We start from the raw sequence: 25,048 nt of genomic DNA on the forward strand, positions 1-25,048 counted from the left end.
AAAAATGGGGACTTTGCACACACCTAGGATCTGAAAGGAATTTTCAGTGCATAGCCCATGCCTGGACTCCTCCCTGAGTGAGGAGCTCACTGCCTCCCAACAGCTGTCCTTTTATCTATGAGCTGTGCCGGCCATGAGCCAGGTCAGCCTCTGCAAAATCTGGGCTGAGTGTGAAGTGCATGTGTGGAGGGAAGGGGTTAAAATGAGGTCAGGGGCCTGGCACGGTGGCTCACGCCTGTAATCCCAACACTTTGGGAGTCTGAGGCAGGTGGATCACCTGAGGTCAGGAGACCAGCCTGGCCAACATGGTGAAACCCCGTCTCTACCAAAAATACAAAAAATGAGCCGGGCATGGTGGCGGGTGCCTGTAATTCCAGCTACTTGGGAGCCTGAGGCAGGAGAATTGTTGAACCCGGGAGGCGGAGGTTGCAGTGAGTTGAGATCACGCCACTGCACTCCAGCCTGGGCAATAGAGCAAGATTCTGTCTCAAAAACAAAAGAGGTCAGGATCTTAGCAGGGAGGCTGCTGTTTTGCATAGGTTGGAAGTCCCCCTGAGGCCACGGGAGCTTGATTAATCCAGACCCTCCCTTCTCTGTCTTTGTCTCTCTCTTTCTGACAGTCTCTCCCTCTCTTTCTCCCTTGGTTTGTGTCTGTCTGCTTCTGTCTCTCCCCTCTTCTCTCTCACCTCTGTGTTTCTGTCTCTGGGTGTCCATGCTGTTAAAAGTCATACAGATATGAGACAGCGTTCAACCCCAACTGAAAATTGCCAGCCACCCCAGCAGTGGAATAATTGAATCGGCGGGCAGCAGGACTGAATCAAGTGAGGGTGGAAGGGGGCACATTCCCAGCTAAAAGTGGGGCCCTCGTTAGGGGGATGCAGTTTGCTGTTGGTAGCAGGAACATGAGTTTGCAGGGTGGCGAGGGGGGAGTGAACTCCCACTGGCAGGCCTGGCTCCCCAGGCTTCCCTGCTGAAGACAAGCTGAGTCCTGCAGAGAGAGGCTGAGGCCTGAGTCGCATCTATCCGCCCCCTCCCCCAACTTCAACACATGGAGTCTGCTTAATGCTCCGAGCCACTTGACAGGCCCCAGTTGAGGGTTTCACCAGGATCCACAGCCAGCCAAGCCCAGCTCATCAAAGTGGGGCTCCATTCTCCATCATCCGACCATTCACGTATCTGCCTTCTCCATCACGGATCCATCCTTCACCCATCCAGCCAACACCTACCCATCCATCCTTCCTTCCATTTCCCAAACCCCCATACACTCACCCATATACCCGCCCACCCATTCCCCATCGTCCGCCTTCCATCCCCCAACCTTCATATCCCATCCCCCTTTCACTCACCTACACACCCACCCATATACCCACCCCTACAATCCCCATTCACTCATCTACCCTTTCCTCCACCATCTACCTACAGGCCTATCCATCCTTACCTCCACTCAACCACCTACCCAAAAACCATCCATCCATCCACCCATCCATCCACTCACCATCCATTCATCCACTCATCCATCCATCAACCCAGCCATCCACCTGTCCATCAACACACCCAACCATTCACTCATCCATCCATCATCCATCCATTCACCCATCCACCCACCACCCACCCATCCATCCATGCAGCTATCCATCCATCCATCCATCCATCCATCCATCTATCCATCCATCCATCCATGCACCCATTCACCTATCCACCTACCCATCCATTTATCCATTCATGCATGCATCTACCCATCTATCCATCCATCCATTCATCCATTTATCCATCCATCCATTTATCCATCCATCCATTTATCCATCCATCCATCCATCCATCCATTTATCCATCCATCCATTTATCCATCCATCCATCCATCCTTCCATCCATCCATCCATCCATCCGCCCACCTACCCATCCACTCATCCATTCACCACCCACCCACCTAACCATCTACTCATTTATCCACCCATCCATCCATTTATCCATCCATCCTTCCATCCATCCATCCATCCATCCATCCACCCACCTACCCATCCATTCATCCATTCACCACCCACCCACCTAACCATCTACTCATTTATCCACCCATCCACCCATCCATCCATCCATCACACACTCATTCATCCACCCATCCATCTATCCATTCATACACACGCACACACACACACACACACACACACACACACACACCCTCCCATCCCCCACCCATCCACCTTTCATCCCCTATCCCTCCATCTCCCATCCCCTATTCAACCATCCCTCCACTCACCTTTCATCCATCTGCCCATCCATCCTCCCCTCCCTCACCCCACATTTCCCACCCACCCATCCATCCACCCATACACACACACCCACACACCCATTGATTCATTATTCAGCAAACGTTAGGCTCTTGCTGAGTGCCCATATCTACACTGGGTACTGAAGATACGGGAATTAAAACAGCCGAGGCCCCTGCTCGATTGGAGATTAGCACCTAGTTGGGAAGATAAATGTTAAGCAAACCCCGGCACACACAACTTCATTGTAGAAATTGTGGTGGTTCCTTGGGGAGACACTCAGGCCGCTCTGAGATGGGCAATGCTGGGAGGGGTTCGGGTAGGTTGGGGGGCATGGGAGAGCTCTGAGGGGGAAGGGTGTGGCAGGCAGAGGGAGCAGCATATGCAAAGGAGAGGCAGATGGAACTGCCCCTGGGGAGGGAACCTGGACAAGGAGTGGGTTTGGGGAGAAGTTGCTGCTGCCAGATTGGGTGCTGCTGTGTGTGAGAAGCCTGAGGGGAAGATAGGCAGCAGCCAGCCACAGGGGGTGGCCAGAGGGCAATGGAGAGGAGAAGGGATGGCCAGAGAGATGGGAGGGAAACCAGGATGGGTGGGGTCCTAAAGCCTAGGGGAGGGGCTGGGAATGATCGACGATCACTTCCCCTTGCTCAGATGGAGAATTTGACGTCCAGGGATCTGCATGGACCTGTCTCCCAGTCAAGATTCTGACCAACATCTCCCTGGGAGAGGCAGAGGCTGCAGTGAGCTCAGATCACGCCACTGCGCTCCAGCCTGGGTGACAGAACGAGACCGTGTCTCAAAAAAAAAAAAACTCCCTGGGAGGACCATGGAAGGAGTGCCCTTCTGTAGGTGGTTTCTTTTTATTTTATTTTATTTTATTTTATTTTTTGGCAGTTCACTGCAACCTCCCTAGTAGCTGGACCCAAGCCCAGCTAATTCTTGTATTTTTTGTAGAGATGGGGTCTCCCTATGTTGCCCTGGCTGGTCTCAAACTCCTGGCCTCGAGCGATCCTCCCACCTCAGCCTCCCAAAATGCCAGGATGACAGGCGTGGGCCACTGTGCCCAGCCCACAGCTGGCTTCTGATCCCAGCCGGGTCGGCTCTGGCTGGGGCTCCCTGGTCAGGCCACACATATGACGTAATAGCCTCCCTGTTCTGGGCTGTGAAATGGGAACAGTTCACCCACTCCATGAGGCAATGGGGAAGCACCAAGGGCAAGATGACCACAGTAGGACACTATGGAGTCCTCTACACCATGCTAGCATGGCCTCTTGGCCCCTGCATCATTCATTCATTCCTTCCTTCCTTCCTTCCTTCCTTCCTTCCTTCCTTCCTTCCTTCCTTCGTTGAATCCGGGAGGCAGAGGTTGCAGTGAGCCGAGATGGCGCCATTGCACTCCAACCTGGGCTACAGAGCAAGACTCCGTATTGATGAAGTGCCCAGGCACCGTTCTGGGTGTTGGGAAGACAGCTACGAACAAAACAGACCCACTCCCTCTGTCCTCACTGATATTAAAGTAGAGTGAGGCTGGGTGCGGTGGCTCACATCTGTAATCCCAGAACTTTGGAAGGCTGAGGGGGGTGGATCACTTGAGGTCAGGAGTTTGAAACCAGCCTGGCCAACATGGTGAAACCCTGTCTCTACTAAAAACACAAAGAAAAAAAATTAGCCGGGCGTTGTGGCAGGCGCCTATAATCCCAGCTACTTGGGAGGCTGAGGCAGGAGAATTGCTTGAACCCGGGAGGCCGAGGTTGCAGTGAGCCAAGATTGTGCCACTGTACTACACCCTAGGCGACAGGGTGAGACTCCGTCTCAAAATAAATAAATAAAATAAAAATAAAAATAGCGACAGAGTGAGACTCCGTCTCAAAATAAATAAAATAAAATAAAAATAAAAATAAATAGAGTGAGACAGATAATAACACACAAATGCATAATCTAATTTCAGGGAGTGGGAGGAATCCTAAAGCAAGAAGCGAAGCACAGGGCGCCACACCCTTGTAATCCCAGCTACTCAGGAGGCTGAGGCAAAAGGATCATTTAAAGCCCAGGAGTTCGAGACCAGCCTGGGCAACAAAGGGAGACCTCATCTCAAAGAATTCTAAAGCAAGGGAAAGCAGAAAAGAAGGACAAAAATAGAGTAATCAGGGAAGGCTTCTCTGAGGAGGTGACATATGCCCTGGAAGGAAGGCAGTCTGGCTAAGAGGTCTGAGGTAGGACCAAGTTTAGCATTTTAAGAATTGCTTAAGAATCAGGCACGGTGGTCACGCCTGTAATCCCAGCACTTTGGGAACCCAAGACGGGTGGATCACTTGAGCTCAGGAGTTTGAGGCCAGCCTGGGCAACATGGTGAAACCCTGTCTCTACTAAAAATACAAAAATTAGCTGGCCGGGCATGGTGGCACATGCCTGTAATCCCAGCTACTTGGGGGGCTGAAGTGGGAGGATCGCTTGAACCTGAGAGGCAGGAGGCTGCAGTGAGCCAAGATCGAAACACTGCACTCCAGCCTCAGTGACAGACTGAGACCCTGTTGAGGAAGAAAAAAGAAGAGAAGGAGAAGGAAAAGAAAGAAGAAAGAAAAATAAGAAGAAGAAAGGAGAAAGAAGGAAGAAGAAGAAAAAGAATCAGCTAGTTTTGAGGCAAGATGATCGCTTGAGCCCAGGAGTTTGAGATCAGCCTGAGCAACATGGCAAGACTCCATCTCTATTATTTTTTAAGTAAATAGGATTTTTTTTAAAAAAGATTCAGCTACTTTCTTTTGAGATGGAGTCTCACTCTGTCGCCCAGGCTGGAGTGCAGTGGTGTGAGCTCAGCTCACCGAAACCTCCGCCTCCCAGATTCAATCGATTCTCCTGCCTCAGCCTCCCAAGTAGCTGGGATTACAGGCACACACCACTACGCCCGGCTAATGTTTTTGTATTTTTAGTAGAGACAGGGTTTCACCATGTTGGCCAGGCTGGTCTTGAACTCCTGAACTGGAGTGATCCGCCCACCTCGGCCTCCCAAAGTGCTGGGATTACAGATGTGAGCCACCACATCCAGCCTAGAATCAGCTACTCTTTGTGGCTGGAACTGTGGGAGGGAGGAAGGGAGAGAGGGGTCCACACTGCCTGGAGCCTACCCTGGCACTTCCCGTCCCCCTTCCTGGCTTACTTCTCCGTTATGATTCAGGCTCTGTGACATGCTATACATTTTTCTTTTTTTTTTTTTTTGAGACGGAGTCTCACTCTGTCACCCAGGCTAGAGTGCAGTGGCGTGATCTCCGCTTACTGCAACCTCTGCCTCCCGGGTTCAAGCGATTCTCCTGTCTCAGCCTCCCCCGAGTAGCTGGGACTACAGGCATGCGCCACCATGCCCGGCTAATTTTTTGTATTTTTAGTAGAGACGGGGTTTCACCATGTTGGCCAGGACGGTCTCGATCTCCTGACCTTGTGATCCACCTGCCTCGGCCTCCCAAAGTGTTTGGATTACAGGCGTGAGCCACCGCGTCCAGCCTACATTTTTCTTATTTACGTTGCCTGCTTTCTCTCCCCTAGACTGCTGGCTCCGTAATGATGGGACTTCTTTCCTTCAGGCCTGCTTGTTCCTTGCTTTGCCTTCAGAAACTAAAACAGTGTCTGAAAATGTCTAAATGAATGAATGGACAAATGAACAGGCATCCTTCTCATCAGAAGGATGGGGTGGGAGGGTAATCAGCCTCTGGCCACTTCAAGAGGCCCCTTTAGGAGGTCAGAGCTAAGAGGTACAGGGTCAGGGCCCCCCTTGATTACTGAGATTCTAATTAACTCTGGGGCCGAGAGGGCCGCTCCGCTCTGAGGAATTATAGATAAGTTTGCACCCCAGTGTTTGAGCAGTGGCTCTGTGGGGGGCGGGCGGCAGCTCTCCCTCCCCTGCCCTCCCACCCACAGCCAGCTGGCCAGGGAGGCGGGCACAGAGAGAGGTCATTTGCATAGGCAGGTAATTGGTTTTGCAAATAAATCTGGTTCTTGAAATTTGTAGATTAGTAATAATACGTCTCCAGATGAGAGAGAAAGGTCACGGATGAATAAAACAACAATTAAACTTTCAGGAGATTATTAAACTAAACAGAAACCTGGCATGGGGTGGCCGAGGGAATAAGGAGCTGGGCTGGGAAGGTGGGGGTGATGGGAGTGGGGGCATCTGCTGCCTCCGCTCCCGCTCCCAGATCCTGCTTGCCAGGGTCTGGGCAGAGTAGAACGCCCCGTGATCCTCCCAGAATAGCTTTTAGGATTCCCATTTCTCAGTCTAGAAAACTGAGGTTGAAGAAGGAAGAGGAAGAGGCCCTAGGTCACCCAGTGAGGCCACACCCCAGGCAGGAGCTGAACCCAAGCCCATTAGCTTTGCGCTGTCCTGGGTGGCAGAGAACCTCATATTGGCAAAGGGATGGGCGCAATGGCTCACACCTGTAATCAAAACACTGTGGGAGACCAAGGCGGGAGCCGTGCTTGAAGCCAGCAGTTCGAGACCGGCCTTGGCAACATGGTGAGACCCTGTCTTTACAAAATAATAATATAGGCAAGGGAATGAGATGTAAGAAAGGGCTGGCATTGACAGATGCCAATTGACAGAGGGTTTGAAGTCTGGGTGTGGTGGCTCACGCCTGTAATCCCAGCACTTTGGGAGGCCGAGGCGGGCGGATCACCTGAGTTCAGGAGTTTGAGATGAGCCTGGCCAACATGGTGAAACCCCGTCTCTACTAAAAATTCAAAAAAATTAGCCGGGTGTGATGGCACACGCCTGTAATCCCAGCTACTGGGGAGGCTGAGACATGACAATCTCTTGAACCTGGGAGGCAGAGGTTGCAGTGAGCCAACATCACACCACTGCACTCCAGCCTGGGTGACAGAGTGAGACTCTATCACAAAACAAAACAAAACAAAACAAAAAAGCAGGCAAAGGGTTCGATTCCCCTCTCTGCACTTCTTGGCTGTGTGACCAGGACAATTCCATTCTCCCGCTGTGCCTCAGTCCTTCCATGCCTATGAAATTGAGGCGAAGCATTTTATGTGTGATGTTAAATTTGCAAATGTTATTATACTTGCGTGGCAATTCAATGTGACACAGCAGCTAATGGACCGGGCACCGTGCCTGGCATGGTGTAGGTGGCTGCTTTGGGCATGCTGGGTCCTTGGCTGCAAGCAACAGAAATGTGCTCCAGGAAACAAAAGCAGAACCAAAATGTATAGGTAACTCGGGGTGGAAGGCAAGGGTGAAGAAAGACGTCAGCCAATAGGGAGAAACTGAGGAAAGGCGCCAGGTAACAGCCATCTTTCGGCCGCCCTCTGGCATGTAACCTTGGGTGAGTCACCTTTCCCCTTGAGACCTCAGTCTCCATAGCTCTAAAAGAGGGAATAGTTGTGTCTACTTTGCTTATTCAGTTTCATCATTCAAAATATTGACTGAGCCCCAAGGCCGGGCGCGGTGGCTCACTCCTGTAATCCCAGCACTTTGGGAGGCCAAGGAGGGCAATCACAAGGTCAGGAATTCGAGACCAGCCTGGCCAACATAGTGAAACCCCGTCTCTACTAAAAATACAAAAAATTAGCTGGGCCTGGTGGTGGGCGCCTGTAATCCCAGCTATTCAGGAGGCTGAGGCAGGAGAATGGCTTGAACCTGGGAGGCGGAGGTTGCAGTAAGCCGAGATCACAGTGTTGCACTCCAGCCTGGGCGACAGAATGAGACTCCGTCTCAAAAAAAAAATTGACTGAGCCCCTAATGAGTTCCAAGCATTGTTCCAGGCACTGAAGATGCAGCAGAGAACAAAACAGGCAGAAATTTCTGTCTTGGAAGCGCTGGCAGCCTAGTTGGGCAGACAGACAACGAGCAAATAAATCAAGAACATCTATAGGGTTTTAGGGTCGAGCACGGTGGCTCACGCCTGTAATCCCAGCACTTTGGGAGGCCGAGGTGGGCGGATCACTTGAGGTCAGGAGTTTGAGACCAGCCTGGCCAACATGGTGAAACCCCGTCTCTACTCAAAATATAAAATTAGCTGGGCATGGTGGTGGGCACCTATAATCCCAGCTACTTGGGAGGCTGAGGCAGGAGAATCGCTTGAACCCAGGAGGTGGAGGTTGCAGTGAGCCAAGACTGTGCCACCGCACTCCAGCCTGGGCAACAGAGCGAGACTCCATCTCAAAAATATATATATATATATACACACGTGTGTGTGTATATATATACACGTGTGTATATATATATATATATACACACGTGTATATATATATACACACATATATGTGTATATATATATACGTGTATATATATATACACGTGTATATATACATGTGTGTATGTGCGTATATATATACAGGTGTGTATATATATGTGTATATATGTATATATATGTATATATGTGTATATATGTATATATGTATACATATATGTATACACACACACACACACACACACACACACACACACATATATATATATATATACACTGAGCCCCTAATGAGTGCCAAGCATTGTTCTAGGCACTGAAGACGCACCAAAGAAGGCAGAAATTTCTTTTTTTTTTTTTTTTTGAGATGGAGTCTTGCTCTGTCACCCAGGCTAGAGTGCAGTTGTGCGATTTCAGTTCACTGCCAGCTCCGCCTCCCAGGTTCACGCCATTCTCCTGCCTCAGCCTCCTGAGTAGCTGGGACTACAGGCGCCTGCCATCATGTCTGGCTAATTTTTTGTATTTTTAGTAGAGACGGGGTTTCACCGTGTTAGCCAGAATGGTCTCGATCTCCTGACCTCGTGATCCGCCTGCCTTGGCCTCCCAAAGTGCTGGGATTACAGGCGTGAGCCACCACACCCGGCCAGCAGGCAGAAATTTCTGTCCTGGAAGTGCTGGCAGCCTAGTTGGGCAGACAGACAATGAGCAAATAAATCCAGAAAATCTGTAGGGTTTTAGAGCATGCTAAGTGCTGTGAAGAAAATCAGAGCATGGAAAGTATCAGGAAGGGACAAGAATTGGAAAGGGAGGGCAGGTTGCAATTTTTTTTTAAGAGATGGCGTCTCTCTCTGTTGCCCAGGATGGAGTTCAGTGGTGCAATCACAGCTCACTGCAGTCTTGATTTCCTGGGCTCAAGCCATCCTCCCACCTCAGACTCTTGAGTAGCTGGGACTACAGGCGCACGCCACCACACCTGGCTAATTTTTTTTTTGAGACGGAGTCTCACTCTGTCGCCCAAGCTGGAGTGCAGTGGCATGATCTCAACTCAGCGCAACCTCTGCCTCCCAGATTCAAGCAATTCTCCTGCCTCAGCCTCCTGAGCAGCTGGGATTTACAGGCACAATTTTTGTATTTTTAGTAGAGTCAGTGTTTTGTCATGTCGGCCAGGCTGGTCTTGAACTCCTGACCTCAAATGATCCACCTGCCTTGGCCTCCCAAAGTGCTGGGATTACAGACATGAGCCACCATGCCCGGCCTAATTTTTATTTTTTATTTTGTAGAGATAGAGTCTCACTATGTTGCCCAGGCTGGCCGCAAACTCCTGAACTCCAGTGATCCTCCCAGTTGCAATTTTAAACAGGGTCATCAGGGAGGCCCTACTGAGAAGAAGATTTAGACCAGAGACCTGAAGGAGAGGAAGAAGGGAACCAAAGAGAGATCTAGGGTAAAAGCATTCCTGGCAGGAAGAACAGCCTGTGCAAAGGCCCTGAGGCAGGACTATGCCTGGTGTGTTGGAGGAACAGTGAGGAGGCCCATGTGGCTGGGGCAGAGCCAAGCAAGAGGCAGAGGGGAAGGAGATGAGGTCAGGGAAATGATGGAGGGTAGATTGCGCAGGGCCTTGGAAATGACAAAGAAGACTTTGGCTTATGCCCTGAGATGGAAGCCTCACGTTCTCACTTTAGCATCTCCCTGAGGTAGTCACTAAAATGGTGAAGAGTGTCCACTCCTTTTTCCCAACCCATTCAATGGCAGAGATTGTGGGTTGGCCTCTAACATCCATTCCCCACTTTCTCCTTTACAAATGAAACCTGCCCAGCTAAAGACTGTGTTGCCCGGCCTCTCTTGCAGGTCAGTGTGACTGTCTGACATATTGTGAACAACGGGACAGAAGCAGGTGTAACCTCAGAAGAAAATAACAGGCCTTCTTCTTCCTCTTCCCCCACTGCCCCCCACCTGTGTCTGGAAGGTGGCCACCATCACAGGGGCCGGAGTAGCCACTGTGGTCCACAAGATAGAAGTTGGGGGCTGAGGAGGCAGAGCAACAAGACCGAAGGAGCCCTGGGTCCCTGGTGATTGTGGAGCCTCTGCTGCAGCCTGGGTTGATGCCCAGGTTATGAGGACAGGAGTGATGAGTGTCACCCTTGTTTAAGCCATGGTCTTATGGGTTTCTGGCAACATAGATCATGAATAATCAAAAGTTGTTGTTTTTTTTTTCGAGACGGAGTCTCACTCTGTCACCCAGGCTGGAGTGCAGTGGTGTGATCTCCACTCACTGCAAGCTCTGCCTCCTGGGTTCACACCAGTCTCCTGCCTCAGCCTCATGAGTAGCTTGGACTACAGGTGCCCACCACCACACCCGGCTAATTTTTGGTATTCTTTAGTAGAGATGGGGTTTCACCATGTTAGCCAGGATGGTCTTGATCTCCTGACCTCATGATCCACCCGCCTTGGCCTCCCAAAGTGCTGGGATTACAGGTGCGAGCCACTGCGCCCAGCTGAATAATCAAAAGTTTTGAGCACTCTCACTGCCCCTATTGCAGATTTCAGAGTTTTTGTTGTTGTTGTTGTTTTGGAGACAGGGTCTTGCTCTGTTGCCAGGCTGGAGTGCGGTGGTTCCATCACAAGCTCACTGCAGCCTCGACCTCACAGGCTCAAGTGATCCTCCCACTCAGCCTTCTGAGTAGCTGGGATTACAGGTTTGAGCCACCTTTGATTTTTTTTTGTGGAGATGGGGTGTCGTTCTGTTACCCAGGCTGGAGTGCAGTGGTGCCATCATAGCTCACTGCAGCCTTGACCTCCCAGGCTTAAGTGATTCCCCAACCTCCACCTCCTGAGTAGCTGGGACTACAGGCATGCACCACCACACCTGGCTAATTTTTAAATTTTTTGAAGCAGTTAGCGGGGGGTCTCACTGTGTTGCCCAGGCTGATCCTGAACTCCTGGACTCAAGCGATCCTCCCGCCTCACCCTCCCAAAGTGATGCGAATACAGGCATGAACCACCATGCCCAGCCTTCCAGACTTTTGCTCTTCCGTGCTAACACTCCCCTGATGCAAAACGCCCATCCTCTCTCCTCTCCTCCTCCCAATCTTCCTTTGGCTCTTGGCCTCGTTCCTCCAACCTTGCTGCAACCAAGCTGTACCATGCTACAAGCTCCACCTTGTGGCCAGCCTGGTAACTGACCTTGGCTCTCCTCTTCCTGATGCTGTCCACTTAGTTTTTTTCCAAGACTTAGTTTTATTCCAAGATATGTTCAGGGACATCCATCCTCCCCTACATTCCTTCATCTTCATATCTCCCTCCCTCTCTCTTCCAAATTTGCAGTTCCTCTAGAACCAAGCTGGGTCCTTTCAACCCCTATGTTGTGCATTTGTGGTGATTCTGTAAGGCAGAAAGGGGACCAGAGAGGGTGAATGGGCTGGCTGGGTCACACAGCCAAGCCATCCTCTCCAGAGGAAGCTGAAGAGTGAGCCTGGTCAAGAGAGGATACAGGCTGGGCATGGTGGTTCACATCTGTAATCCCAGCACTGTGAGAGGCCAAGGCAGGCGATTACTTGAGCCCAGGAGTTCGAGACCAGCCTAGGCAACATCATCTCTACAAAAGATAAAAAAATTAGCCAGGTATGGTGGCGGGTGCCTGTAATCCCAGCTACCTAGGAGGCTGAGGTGGGAGGATCGCTTGAGGCCAGGAAGTGGAGGCTGTGGTCAGCTAATATTGTGCCAGGTATATATATATACCTGGGCATGGTGGTGCACATCTGTAATCCCAGCAACTCTGGAGGCTGAGGCACAAGAATCGCTTGAACCTGGGAGGCAGAGGTTGCAGTGAACTGAGGTCACTCCACTGCCCTCTGGCCTGGGTGACAGAGCAAGACACTGTTTCAAAAAAAAAAAAAAAAAAAAAAAAAAAAAAAGAAGATTGATGACAGAGACCATGAACCTTCTGGTCTGAGGACACAGGACAGCGGGGACCCTCAGACACAGGGCCCCCCATTAGTCTTCCAGGAAATCCTTCTATCAAAGCTCAATGATCTCATTCCTTCCTTTGTTCCACAAACACTTATTGAGCAACTGCTGTGTACCAAGTCCTATTTGGGGTGCTGGAAGCAAAACACACTTGCCCTCTTCCTCCCAGGCTAGTGTGGGAAGCATGGGTGAGGTCAGACTGTGATGAAGGCACCCAGAGGAGGCCCCTGACCTGGGCCTTGGGCTTCCCAGAGGAGGTGACGTGGAGGCTGAGATGTGAAAGATGAAGAGGAGAAAGTAGCATGGTCCATGCTGAGGGAACGGCAGGAGCAGAGGCTCCGAGGTGGGGTGGGGTGGGTTTGAGCCCCTAAGAGGCAGCCAGTTGTAATAGAGGCCAACGGCCTGCAGAGCTGGGGGCGAGAGCAGGGCCTTGATCTCAAGGGCAATAGGGAGCCAAGGAAGGATTTAGAGCAAGGGAGGAGTGAGATTGGATTTGCCTTTGAGGAAGATTCCAAAGAGGAAGGACCGGAGGGCACAAGGCTTGAATTCAGGGCCCAGGACGGGGCTGTGCCTCCTTCACCACGTCCTCTGCTGCGCCCGGGCGCAAGGAGGAAGGAGAGCCGGGAGGGCGTACCTGGCAGCCAAAAGCCCAGCCGCTAATGAGCCCGGTGCGGCGCGAGCTATTTTTAGCAGCTGCTCCTCGGGACGCCTAATCGCTCCGGCCGGCTCCCGCCAGGCTGCCATGGAAACGCTCGCGCCACCGCCAGGAGCTCCCTCCCGGTCCCGGCCGGCGCTGCCCGCCCCTCAGCCCGGGGCCAGGATGATGCGTGCTGCCCCCCGCCAGGAAGGAGCCCTGCCTGCCTTCCCAGCACTGTCACTGCACGGCTGTGCGATCCCGGGACATCTCTGCCCCTCTCTGGGCCTTAGAGGGCAAGAGAGGTAAAGGCGCGCACTGGAGGCTGAGAAGCACGTTTGAATCTCCGCTGGGCCAACGACTTGGGGTGCAAGGTCAGGAGTGTCCCAGAATCTGAGCCCTCTTTTTGTCATCTGAAAAGCAAGCCCCCGCCTCATTTAACTGCGGAGAGCACCCGGCCCCGAGGAATAAGTGATTTCAGAATTCCAAACACTCATTAAACACCTACTGCATGCCAGCCATTGCCCTAAGCTCTTTTTTTTTTTTTTTTTTTTTTTGAGACGGAGTGGAGTCTTACTCTGTCGCCCACGCTGGAGTGCAGTGGGACAATGTCAGCTCACTGCAACCTCCACTTCCTGGGTTCAAGCGATTCTCCTGCCTCAACCTCCCAAGTACCTGGGATTATAGGCATGAGCCACCATGCCTGGCCTTTTTTCTTTTTTTTCTTTTTTTTTTTTTTAAGAGACAGGGTCTCGCTCTGGAGTGCAGTGGTGCAATTGTGACTCACTGCAGCGTCAGCCTCACAGGCTCAGGTGATCCTCCCACCTCACTCTCTGGAGTAGCTGGGCCCACAGGCATGCACCACCACACCCAACTAATTTTTGTATTTTTTGTAGAGACGAGGTTTCACCTTGTTACCTAGGCTGATCTCAAACTCCTGGGCTCAAGTGATCCACCCGCCTCAGCCTCCCAAAGTGCTGGGATTATAGAGGTGAGCTACCACCCCCGGCCTAAATTTTTATTTTTATTTTTATTTTTGTAGAGGCAGAGTCTTGCTTTGTTGCCCAGGCTGGGTCTTGAACTCCTGGCCTCAGGCAATCCTCCTGCCTCGGCCTCCCAGAGTGCTGGGATCACAGGTGTGGGCCACAGCACCCAGCCTGCCCTAAGCTTTCTATGCATTCACTTGATTAATTAAATCCAGAGGCATGTTACAGGTTATGCATTCACAGATGAAGCCATTGCTGCCAGGAGGTTAACTGGCTCTCCGGATATGGAGGCAAGGAAGGGACCCAGGCTTACTGGATGGGGACGCAGAGGGTGAGAGGCTTCCCTCCTCCAGGGTGCAGGTAGGGACACTGAGGCAGAGACGAGGGTAGCAAGTTGCCCAATGCTGAGAGCCCTGGAGTTGGGCTCTCTCTCGCCCACCGAGGAAAGCTATTATAGAGGGGTCGTGGGCGGGTGGCGCGGGGCAGCCCGCCAACAACTGACACCAGGGGCTATTTCAGGAAGTGTCACTCAGTCAGTTGGGACAGGCTGAGGCCCAAGGAGGGAGGACAGGAAGAACAAAGCCCTGACCTGGGCCAGGACAGGGAGGTGGAGGCAGGAAGGCAGAGTGCATGAGACTGCAGCCATGTGACCTACGGCATGTCTGCTTTGCCGCTCCGGGCCTCAATTTCCCCATCTATAGAGATGAGGTCTTGCTATGTTGCCCAGGCTGTTCTCAAATTCATGGGCTGAAGCAATCCTCCTGCCTCAGCCTCTCAAGTAGCTGGGACCACACGCACACATCACCATACCAAGTTAATTTTTAATTTTTTGTGGGCACAGGGTCTCACAGCATAGCAAGACTCTATCTCTACAAAAGAAATGAAATGGGAGAAGGGGATTTAAAAAATTAAGTTACATTTTAAAACTGACCAGGAGCAATGGCTCATGTCTGTAATCCCAGCACTTTGCGAGGCTGAGGCAAGAGAATCACTTGAGGCCAGGAGTTCGAGACCAGCCTGGGCAACATAACAAGCAAAAGTTATTTATTTATATTTTTTATTTTTTCATTTTTTATTTTTTGAGATGGAGTCTCACACTCTTGCCCAGGCTGGAGTACAGCAGTATGACCTCGGCTCACTGCAACCTCTGCCTCCCAGTTTCAAGCGATTCTCCTGCCTCAGCCTCCCAAATAGCTGGGATTACAGGCACAAGCCACCGCATCCAGCTAATTTTTGTATTTTTGTAGAGACGGGGTTTCACCATGTTGGCCAGGCTGGTCTCAAACTCTTGACCTCAAGTGATTCGCCCACCTCAGCCTCCCAAAGTGCTGGGATTACAGGCACGAGCCACCACGCCCGGCCAAAATTTTTAATTTTTTAGATACAAAAAGTTTAAAAATTAACTGAGCATGGTCATCCCAGCTACTCAGGAGGCTGAGGTGGAAGGATCCCTTGAACCCAGGACTTCGAAGCTACAGTGAACTATGATTGTGCCACTGCACTCCAGCCTGGGCAACAGAGCGAGACCCTGTCTAAAAATAAATAAATAAATAAATAAAATACAGCAAGCCACGTGCTAAAAACAGTGCCAAGTGTCACGTGATGCTACTTTTCAGCTATTATGATTCACCGATCGCATCTGCCACGGGACATCAGGCCTCGGTGGGCTCACAGGGAAGGTGGCGGAAGAGCTGGCCTCATCCCAGGTCTGAGGGTCGACCCTGAACCACGAGAGAGAGGGAGAGAGAAAAAGGAGTCCCAAGGCTGGCACACAGCTGTCCTGAGCTGGCTTCCCCACTCCCGCTTCCCACCACCCTGCCTGGCCGGTGCCTGCATTTTCACCCTTAGGGCTGCCTCCATGGCACCTGCACCAGCCCCTGGGAGGAGATGCTGGAGCTGCCCAGAGCTGGGGGCCCGAGTGGAACACAAGCCCCCATCCTCCACTCTTCCCCAGTCACCCTGGCAGCGGGGAGGGGAGGGGAAGGGAGGGGAGGCCAAGGTTACAGAGCCCCTCCCCCTGCCTGGCTATAATTAGCCCCGAGATGAATTAAACATGAGGCTGGGCTTGTCTGCAGCAGCGGAGGCAGCAGCTTCGTCCCTGACACTATAATTGTTCCCGGGCAGCAGGCAGAGGACAGGGCTGATGTGTGAGGCTGGGGGAGGTGGGGACACACTCACTGGGCACGGCTGTGGGAACACAGCTGTGTGGGGCCTGTGGACGTCTTTGGCAGGTACACGCGTGTGCCCGCATGCACATGTGTGTGGTCCTCAGGACTCTCCAGGCACGAGGGGGAAGGGGTGGTCCTTGGGCCTGGAGAAGGCTCAAGGCTCAGGAACCCCGGGATGAAGGTAGCAGCCCCACAAGGGGCATGGAGGGGGCACTCTCCAGCCCCATCTCCAGCAGCCCTGCGGTGGGGGTGGGCGGCCACCATTAAAGCTGCCAACAGCCAGCACGGTGGTTCACGCCTGTAATCCCAGTACTTTGGGAGGCTGAGGAGGGAGGATCACTTGAGGCCAGGAGTTCAGGAACAGCCTGGGTAACATAGCAAGACCCCATTTCTACAAGAAGTTTAAACATTAACTGGGTGTGGTGGCACGCACCTGTAATCCCAGCTACTTAGGAGGCTAAGGCAGGAGGAACACTTGACCCTGAAAGGTGGAGGCTGCAGTGAGCCAAGATCATGCCACTGCCTGGGAGACAGAGTGAGACCCTGTCTAAAAAAAAAAAAAAACTGCCACCATCAGGATTCACACCTTCGTGGGAAGCCACCATTCCAACCTCCCGTCACGAAGTCCCAGACTCCCTCATCCACAGCGCTATCGGGCACTCGGGCACCGTAGCTGTGGTTCCAGCATTCCGGCCGCCACCAGCCACTGTCATGCTGATGGGAACCCATCAGTCCAGTCTGCAGTGAACATGCCTGTCTGGTTCTGTCTCTCCCAGGCTGGGAGCCCCCTCAGGGCTGGGTCTCTGGACCCCGCATGGCCCAGCTCAGGTGGGATTCCCATAATGGGGGAACACTTCTGGGGTCTTTGGAGTTTGGGGAGGTGGAGAGGCTGTGGATGAGGGAAGCATCCTTTAGGTCTAGAAACATCTGCAAATTGATGGACATCCTTGGGCCTCCTGGTCATCATCTTCCCACTCCAAAAACTATTATCCATCCATTTTATAAGGGAGGGAAACTGAGGCTGGGAGAGAGCCAGTGACCTGCCCAAGTGGCACAACGAGGAAGGCACAGAGCCTGGAGGTCTTAGTGGCTCCATTAAGACCATTAGCAGGGCCGGGTGCCGTGGCTCACGCCTGTAATCCCAGCACTTTGGGAGGCTGAGGTAGGTGGATCACAAGGTCAGGAGATTGAGACCATCCTGGCTAACACGGTGAAAACCCGTCTCTACTAAAAAATTTTTTTAAAAATTAGCCGGGCGTGGTGGCAGGTGCCTGTAGTCCCAGCTACTCAGGAGGCTGAGGCAGGAGAATGGCGTGAACCCAGGAGGCGGAGCTTGCAGTGAGCGGATATCGCACCACTGCACTCCAGCCTGGGGGACAGAGTGAGACTCCATCTTAAAAAAAAAAAAAAAAAAAAAAAAAAACACCATTATCAGGCTGGGTGCGGTGGATCACGCCTGTAATCCCAACACTTTGGGAGGCTGAGAAGGGAGGATCACTTGAGGCCAGGAGTTCAAGACCAGCCTGGGCAACATAGTGGGACCCTGTCTGTACAAAAAAATTAAAAAATTAGCTGAGCATGGGGGTGCATGGGTGTGGTCCCAGCTACTCGGGAGGCTGAGGCAGGAGGATCACTTGAGCCCACAAAGGTAGAGGCTGCAGTGAGCTATGATTGTACCACTGCACTCCAGCCCGGGCCAAAGACTGAGACCCTGCCTCAAAAAAAGAAAAAAGAAAAAAAAGACCACTATTAGTCACTCACACCTTCACGAATATGGCCAACTCCCTAGGAGAGAACCCTGGATTGGATTCCAGCTGGGTTCAAAACCCAGGCTGGAAGCATTATGAGGTCTTGGGCTTTTGGATGGGGTGAGAGAGAGAGGAGGGTGACCTCAGGCCTGCTCCTCTCCTCTCTGGGCCTCAGTCTTCCCATCCAGGAGATGGGACAATGGCGACTGGAGACAGTCTTGTTGGGGGCAGGGAAGACGGTGTCAGGATCTCATTCCGGGACGCCCGCCACCTGGCCCTGTACCAGTGAAATTCATTTCCCGGACCCTGGCCCAAGAAATGGTGAAATCTCTCCAGCAGCCTGCTGATAGCAACTTTAAGTCTTTCTGCAGAGAGGAAGGGAGGTGAGAGATGGGGAGAAGAGAGGGGAGTGAGAGGCAGGGGCCTCGGTCAGTCTCTCAGCTGTAAACACTCCCTCCCTCTACTAGGATCAGTGAGCTATGATTGTACCACAGCACTCCAGCCTGGGTGACACAATGAGACCCCCATCTCTAAAAAAAAAAATTAAAAATTAAAAAAAAATTTAAAAGGCCAGGCATGGTAGCTCATGCCTGTAATCCCAACACTTTAGGAGGCTGAGGTGGGAGGATCACCTGAGGTCAGGAGTTTGAGACTAGCCTGGCCAACATGGTGAAACCCCGTCTCTACTAAAAATACAAAATTAGCCAATTGTGGTGGTGCATGCCTGTAATCCCAGCTACTCGTGAGGCTGAGCCAGGAGAATTACCTGAATCTGGGAGGCAGAGGTTGCAGTGAGCCAAGATCATGCCACTGCACTCCAGCCTGGGCAGCAGAGCAAGACTCTGTCTCCAAAAAAAAAAAAAAGCCGGGTGCAGTGGCTCACGCCTGTAGTCCCAGCACTTTGGGAGGCCGAGGCAGGCTGATCACCTAAGGTCAGCAGTTTGAGACCAGCCTGGCCAACATGGTGAAACCTGGTCTCTACTAAAAATACAAAAATTACCTGGGCGTGGTGGTGCGTGCCTGTAATCCCAGCTACTTGGGAGGCTGAGGCAGGAGAATCGCTTGAGCCTGGGAGGCAGAGGTTGAAGTGAGCCAAGATCACACCACTACACTCCAGCCTGGGAGACAGAGCAAGAACCTGTCTCAAAAAAAAAAAAAAAAGAAAGAAGAAGAAGAAGAATGTTTTCCTCATTCACAGCCCCTCCACCTCCCCAGACTCGAAAGACCCCAGGAGTATCCCGCCATTATAGGATCCCACCCGAGCTGGGATATGCAGTGTTCAGAGACCCAGCCCTAGAGAGGCTCCCAGGCTGGGGGAGACAGAACCAGACAGAAACCTCACAGCCCAAACAACCAGGCCCTGTGCAGGGGGATCTGGTGGCTGAGTACACGGGGCCCCCTACAGACAAAGAGTGTTTACACGTGGTAAATAAAGACACTCCCGGTGAGGGGAACAGCCGAGGCAAACACATGGAGGCAAAAAGCAAAAAAAAAAAAAAATCCCAAACTTCCTTTGGGAAGCCAAGACAGACAGATCACTTGAGGTCAGGAATTCAAGACCAGCCTGGCCAATATGGTGAAACACCGTCTCTACTAAAAATACAAAAATTAGCCAGGCGTGGTGGCGGGCGCCTGTAATCCCAGCTACTTGGGAGGCTGAGGCAGGGGAATTGCTTGAACCCGGGAGGTGGAGGTTGCAGCGAGCCAAGATCATGCCACTGCACTCCAGCCTGGGTGGCACAGCAAGACTTCGTCTCAAAAATAAATAAATAAATAAATAAATAAATAAAAGTATATAGAAACCCACTCTGGGCCAGGTGCGGTGGCTCACGCCTGTAATCCCAGCACTTTGGGAGGCTGAGGCAGGTGGATCATGAGGTCAAGAGATCAAGACTATCCTGGCTAACACGGTGAAACCCCGTGTCTACTAAAAAATACAAAAAATTAGCCGGGCATTGGTGGCGGGCGCCTGTAGTCCCAGCTACTCGGGAGGCTGAAGCAGGAGAATGACCTGAACCCAGGAGGCGGAGCTTGCAGTGAGCCGAGATCGCGCCACTGCACTCCAGCTTGGGTGACAGAGCAAGATTCCGTCTCAAAAAAAAAAAAAAAAGAAAGAAAAGAAAGAAACCCACTCTGGTGTCTATGGTGCATTCAAAATGACAAATCCCACAGCCAGAAAGGCTCTTGCAAAGTAGGGGTGATTGAGAAGAGCTTACACCCCCCGCCCAGAGCTATTATAAGGATAAAATGAGATAAGGAGAGTGTGTAAACCCCCAGCACATACTCAGTGCTTGCAGAGCAGCTTTTGCAACCATGGCACCAATCAAGCCCGTGTAGATCATTTTTTTTTAACAGTTATATATTCATTTCAATGTATATATTCCCCCAAATTTATATACAGCATCTACTCTACTCAAAAAAGATGTATATCTGGGTTTTCATGGCAGGATATAAAGGGTGCATTTTAGAAATAGATATATTTTGTCGGAAAACAATGAGAGGAGGAGTCGGTTTAGAGAAAAATGATGGTGGGAATGAAGGAAGCCTGGAGTCAGGAACCGCTCAGAGTAATAGATTTCTCAGCCTGTTCCTGGGCCCAGTAATTAATCCTGAGGGGCTAATTAAATTCCAGCTTCCTCTCTAGCCACTCAGCAGCCTCCCTCCTGGCCTCCCTCTCCCCCAGGGAGGCCCGGCCTGGCCCGCCCCTGCCAGAGCCTCCCTCCTGCTGAACCGCCAGGCCCCCAGTTCCCTGGGCTTAATCATCAGGAATTAAGGTTTAATCAGAAGGTTGCCTGAGAGGAACAGCCTCCCAGGTGTACAGCCGCACCAGGAATAGGGTGAGCTCAGTGAGGCGGGCTCGAGCAAACGCAGGGTCAGAGCCTGTCATTCACTTCACACTTAGATATTTTGTTCATCGTCTATGTTTTCATAATCATCGTGACTTCTTTTTTTTTTGAGACAAGGTCTTACTCTGTCACCCAGGCTGCAGTGGAATGGCACTATCATGGCTCACTGCAGCCTCAACCTCCCTACCTCAAGTGATCCTCCTGCCTCAGCCTCCTGAGTAGCTGGGACCACAGGTGTGCACTACCACACCTGGCTAATTTTTGTATTTTTCGTAGAGACGGGAGTCTTGCTATGTTTCCTAGGCTGGGTCTTGAACTCCTGAAACCAAGCGATCCTTCCACCTTGGCCTCCCCAAATGCTGGGATTACAGGCATGAGCCATCCTGCCCAGTCTCCTCATGACTTTTTTTTTTTTTTTTTGAGACAGAGTCTTGCTCTGTTGCCCAGGCTGGAGTGGCGCGATCTCGACTCAGCATCTGCCTCCCAGGTTCAAGCAATTATTCTGGCCTCAGCCTCCTGAGTAGCTGGGATTACAGGCGCCCACCACCACGCCCGGCTAATTTTTGTATTTTTAGTACAGAGGAGGTTTAACCATGTTGACCAGGCTTGCCTGGAACTCCTGACCTCAAGTGATCAGTCTGCCTTAGCCTCCCAAAGTGCTGGCATTACAGGCGTGAGCCACCATGCCTGGCCCCTCATGACGTTTTTCAATGTTGCATCAAACTACTGTTTATCTTGGTGACTGAGTTGAACGGCACCTCCTTAAATTTTGCACTGAGGTGGGTGCCTTGCTCTCTTTACCCTAATTCTGGTCCCAACTCCTCCACGCATGCACAAAGCCAGCAACTCCTAAGCATCTTGAGACCTGAAGCTCATTTCAGCTTCACCGCTGTCTGAGGACAATCTGTTATTGGGCCCATTTTATGGATGAGAAACTGAGGCCCAGAAGGTCAAGTCACTGGCTTTGGGTTCCTTGGCTAAGGGGAGGCAGAGGCAGGATTTGAACCCAAGACGCCACTGAGATGGGGTTGCTGCCTGTCCTGAATCCAGAGACAATGCAACCCGCTTCAGAGCACCCTTTCTGAAGTGTTTTTGTTTTTGTTTTCTTGTTTGTTAGTTTGTTTTGAGACCAGGCTGGAGTGCAATGGTGCAATCTCGGCTCACTGCAAAGCAACCTCCACCTCCCGGGTTCAAGCAATTCTCATGCTTCAGCCTCCCAAGTAGCTGGGACTACAGGCACACACCACCATGCCCAGCTGATTTTTGTTTTTTGTGTTTTTTTGAGACGGAGTCTCATTCTTGTCACCCAGGCTGGAGTGCAGTGGTATGATCTTGGCTGACTGCAACCTCCACCTCCCGGGTTCGAGCTATTCTCCTGCCTCAGCCTCCCAAGTAGCTGGGACTACACGCATGCACCACCACACCTGGCTAATTTTTGTATTTTCAGCAGAGATGAAATTTCACCATGTTAGCCAGGCTGGTCTCGAACTCCTAGCCTTGAGTGATCCACCCACCTCGGCCTCCCAAAGTGCTGGGATTACAGGCGTGAGCCACCACACCCAGCCGATAAACTCCCTTTCATATATACATCTATCTTATTAGTTCTGTCCCTCTAGAGAACCTCTAGAGAACAAATACTTTAATATTAATCTATCAGGTATCCTTCCCCACTTTATACCACCCTTATCTAGTCTATGGGGGACACTACTAATCTATCAAGTAACCTTCCCCACTTCCTGCCACCCCCACCTGTATGTGGACTACAATAGAAAGAGAGACTTGAGGCTGAAGGAAGCCCAGCGTAGGTATGAGGACTTGTTCTGGGCTTTGACGCATCCATAGGAGTTTTCTAGGTATGAGTAGGGTCTGCTGAAAGGGCTTTACTGTGTATGCAAAAGCCTAGAGAAGTGAAGGAGAGTGTGACTCATTCATGGACTAATAAGTTTGTCTCCTTGAAGCTGGAGAGGCCTTGAAGGCCAGAAAAGGAGCCTGAACGTCATCCTGTTCATCCTGTTCACAGTGACACGGTCACCCAGGCTCAATTCCACTCCCCATCTTCCAGTTTCTCGGCTTCCTCCAACACCCGACCTAGCTCCCAGGTGTTAAGGTCAGAAGTGAATGCACCTGTGAATTAGTGAAGGAATGAGTGAGCAGAGGCAGCTGCTTCAAGGTTGTGTGGTGATACATCCTTCTGAACCCTGCCCCGGTGCTTCACGGTACAGGCTCCAGAGAGGACTCAGCCTGGGACCCTGCCCCCAAGGATCCCCAGGCTGGGACTGTGGGATGGAGCTGGACACAGACACCCAAGCTCTGCAGAGTCAGGGCTGGTGCTGAGCGACCTTGGAGGGGAGGACATTGGAGCTGCGTGCAAAGCTTTTTTTTTTTTTTTTTTTTTTTTGAGAGAGGGTCTGGCTCTGTAACCCAGGCTGGAGTGCAGTGGTGCAATCTCAGCTCACTGCAACCTCCACCTCCCGGACCCAAGTGATCCTCTCTCCCAACCCAGAAGGCGGAGGTTTCAGTGAGCCGAGATCGCACCATCGCACTCCAGCCTGGGCAACAAATATGGATGTGGGGGAATAGGCAAGCAGGTAGGTGGATGTGGCTGGCTGCGTGGAAAGAACAGGGGTGGTGGGGGCAGCCAAGGATCAATCAGGCACTGGTGAGAAGTTCTAGCTTCATCCCGAAGGCAATGGGAGCCATGGAGGGCTCTGGACAGAGGAGAGACATTGCCAGACCCAGGTGCTCACAGGAACCCTTCTGGGGGCTACAGCGGCAACAGATTGTGAAGGGAGGTGATTGCATTGGTCTGGGAAAGTGACGATCATGTACCTAAACCCGCGTTGTCCAACGTGGGAGCCACTGGCCACATGTAGCTATTGAGTACTTAAAATGTGACTATCGGATCGGGCACGGTGGCTCACGCCTGTCATTCCAGCACTTTGGGAGGCCGAGGCGGGTGGATCACTTGAGGTCAGGAGTTCGAGACCAGCCTGACCAACATGGTGAAACTCCGTCTCTACTAAAAATACAAAAATTAGCCAGGTGTGGTGGCACGTGCCTGTAATCCCAGCTACTTGGGAGGCTGAGGCAGGAGAATCGCTTGAACCTGGGAGATGGAGGTTTCAGTGAGCTGAGATCACACCATTGCACTTCAGCCTGGGTGACAAGAGTGAAACTCTGTCTCAGAACACACACACACACACACACACACACACCCCAGAAAAAATAGCTCATTCACAATTTTTTCTATAGATTGCATGCTTAAATGATAAAACACATTACTAAAACTAATTTCACCTGTTTCTTTTTACTATTTTTTATTTTTTGAGACGGAGTTTCGCTCATTGTTGCCCAAGCTGGAGTGCAATGGTGTGATCTCAGCTCACCGCAACCTCCACCTCCTGGGTGCAAGTGATTCTCCGGCCTTAGCCTCCCAATCAGCTGGGATTACAGGCGTGCACCACCACGCCCAGCTAATTTTGTATTTTTAGTAGAGACCAGGCTGGTCTCAAACTCCCGACCTCAGGAGGTCCGCCCGCCTCAGCCTCCCAAAGTGCTGGGATTAGAGGCGTGAGCCACTGCGCCCAGCCTTCTTTTTACTGTTTTTTTCTTGTGGCTACCAGGAAATCTTTAATTGCCCACGTTGATGGCATTTGCATTTCTAAAATGCTGCAGCCTTTGCACCGACCACCAGAGAGTGCTGTGCCCATGTGGCAGGATCAAGCAATCCGGAATCTGAAGGAAAAGAAAGTAGTTCAAGCTGACGATCAGTTAGATCAGTTCTTACAATGGAGACACGTTTACCATCTGGCATCTTTCAGCATCTAAGGGAGACAGATCTGCCTGGAGATAGGGAGTCTGCCGCTGATCCTCACACCATTTTATCCTGCTAGGTGGGGGACAGAATGAGGCCTGCAGTCAACTCACAGATTCTGCAGCTTTTTTTTTTTTTTTTTTTTTTTTTTTGAGACAGGATCTGGCTCTGTAACCCAGGCTGGAGTGCAATGGTGCAATGTCGGCTTACTGCAACCTCCACCTCCTGGACCCAAGTGATCCTCCCACCCCAGCCTCCCAAGTAGCTGGGACCACAGGTGTGCAACACCATACCAGGCTAATTTTTGTAGTTTTTATAGAGACAGGGTTTCACTATGTTGCCCGGGCTGGTCTTGAACTCCTGAGCTCCAGTGATGCCTGCCTTGGCCTCCCAAATTACTGGGATTAAAGGCGTGAGCTACAGCATTTATTAGATAC

General features: G+C 51.5%; 3 annotated features.

Annotated features, from left to right (window-relative positions):
* Nucleotides 3,139-4,039: an enhancer, noted in NCBI's record as "H3K27ac-H3K4me1 hESC enhancer chr19:5526673-5527573 (GRCh37/hg19 assembly coordinates)". NCBI's record gives its function as "activates a minimal SCP1, AML or CMV promoter by ChIP-STARR-seq in naive H9 embryonic stem cells {active_cell/tissue: H9 hESC(naive)}" and the evidence as "EXISTENCE:reporter gene assay evidence [ECO:0000049][PMID:30033119]".
* Nucleotides 12,961-13,624: an enhancer, noted in NCBI's record as "OCT4-NANOG-H3K27ac-H3K4me1 hESC enhancer chr19:5536495-5537158 (GRCh37/hg19 assembly coordinates)". NCBI's record gives its function as "activates a minimal SCP1, AML or CMV promoter by ChIP-STARR-seq in primed H9 embryonic stem cells {active_cell/tissue: H9 hESC(primed)}" and the evidence as "EXISTENCE:reporter gene assay evidence [ECO:0000049][PMID:30033119]".
* Nucleotides 13,625-14,288: an enhancer, noted in NCBI's record as "H3K27ac-H3K4me1 hESC enhancer chr19:5537159-5537822 (GRCh37/hg19 assembly coordinates)". NCBI's record gives its function as "activates a minimal SCP1, AML or CMV promoter by ChIP-STARR-seq in primed H9 embryonic stem cells {active_cell/tissue: H9 hESC(primed)}" and the evidence as "EXISTENCE:reporter gene assay evidence [ECO:0000049][PMID:30033119]".

This window comes from Homo sapiens, chromosome 19, assembly GCF_000001405.40.
Source record: "Homo sapiens chromosome 19, GRCh38.p14 Primary Assembly".
Lineage (NCBI taxonomy): Eukaryota > Metazoa > Chordata > Mammalia > Primates > Hominidae > Homo > Homo sapiens.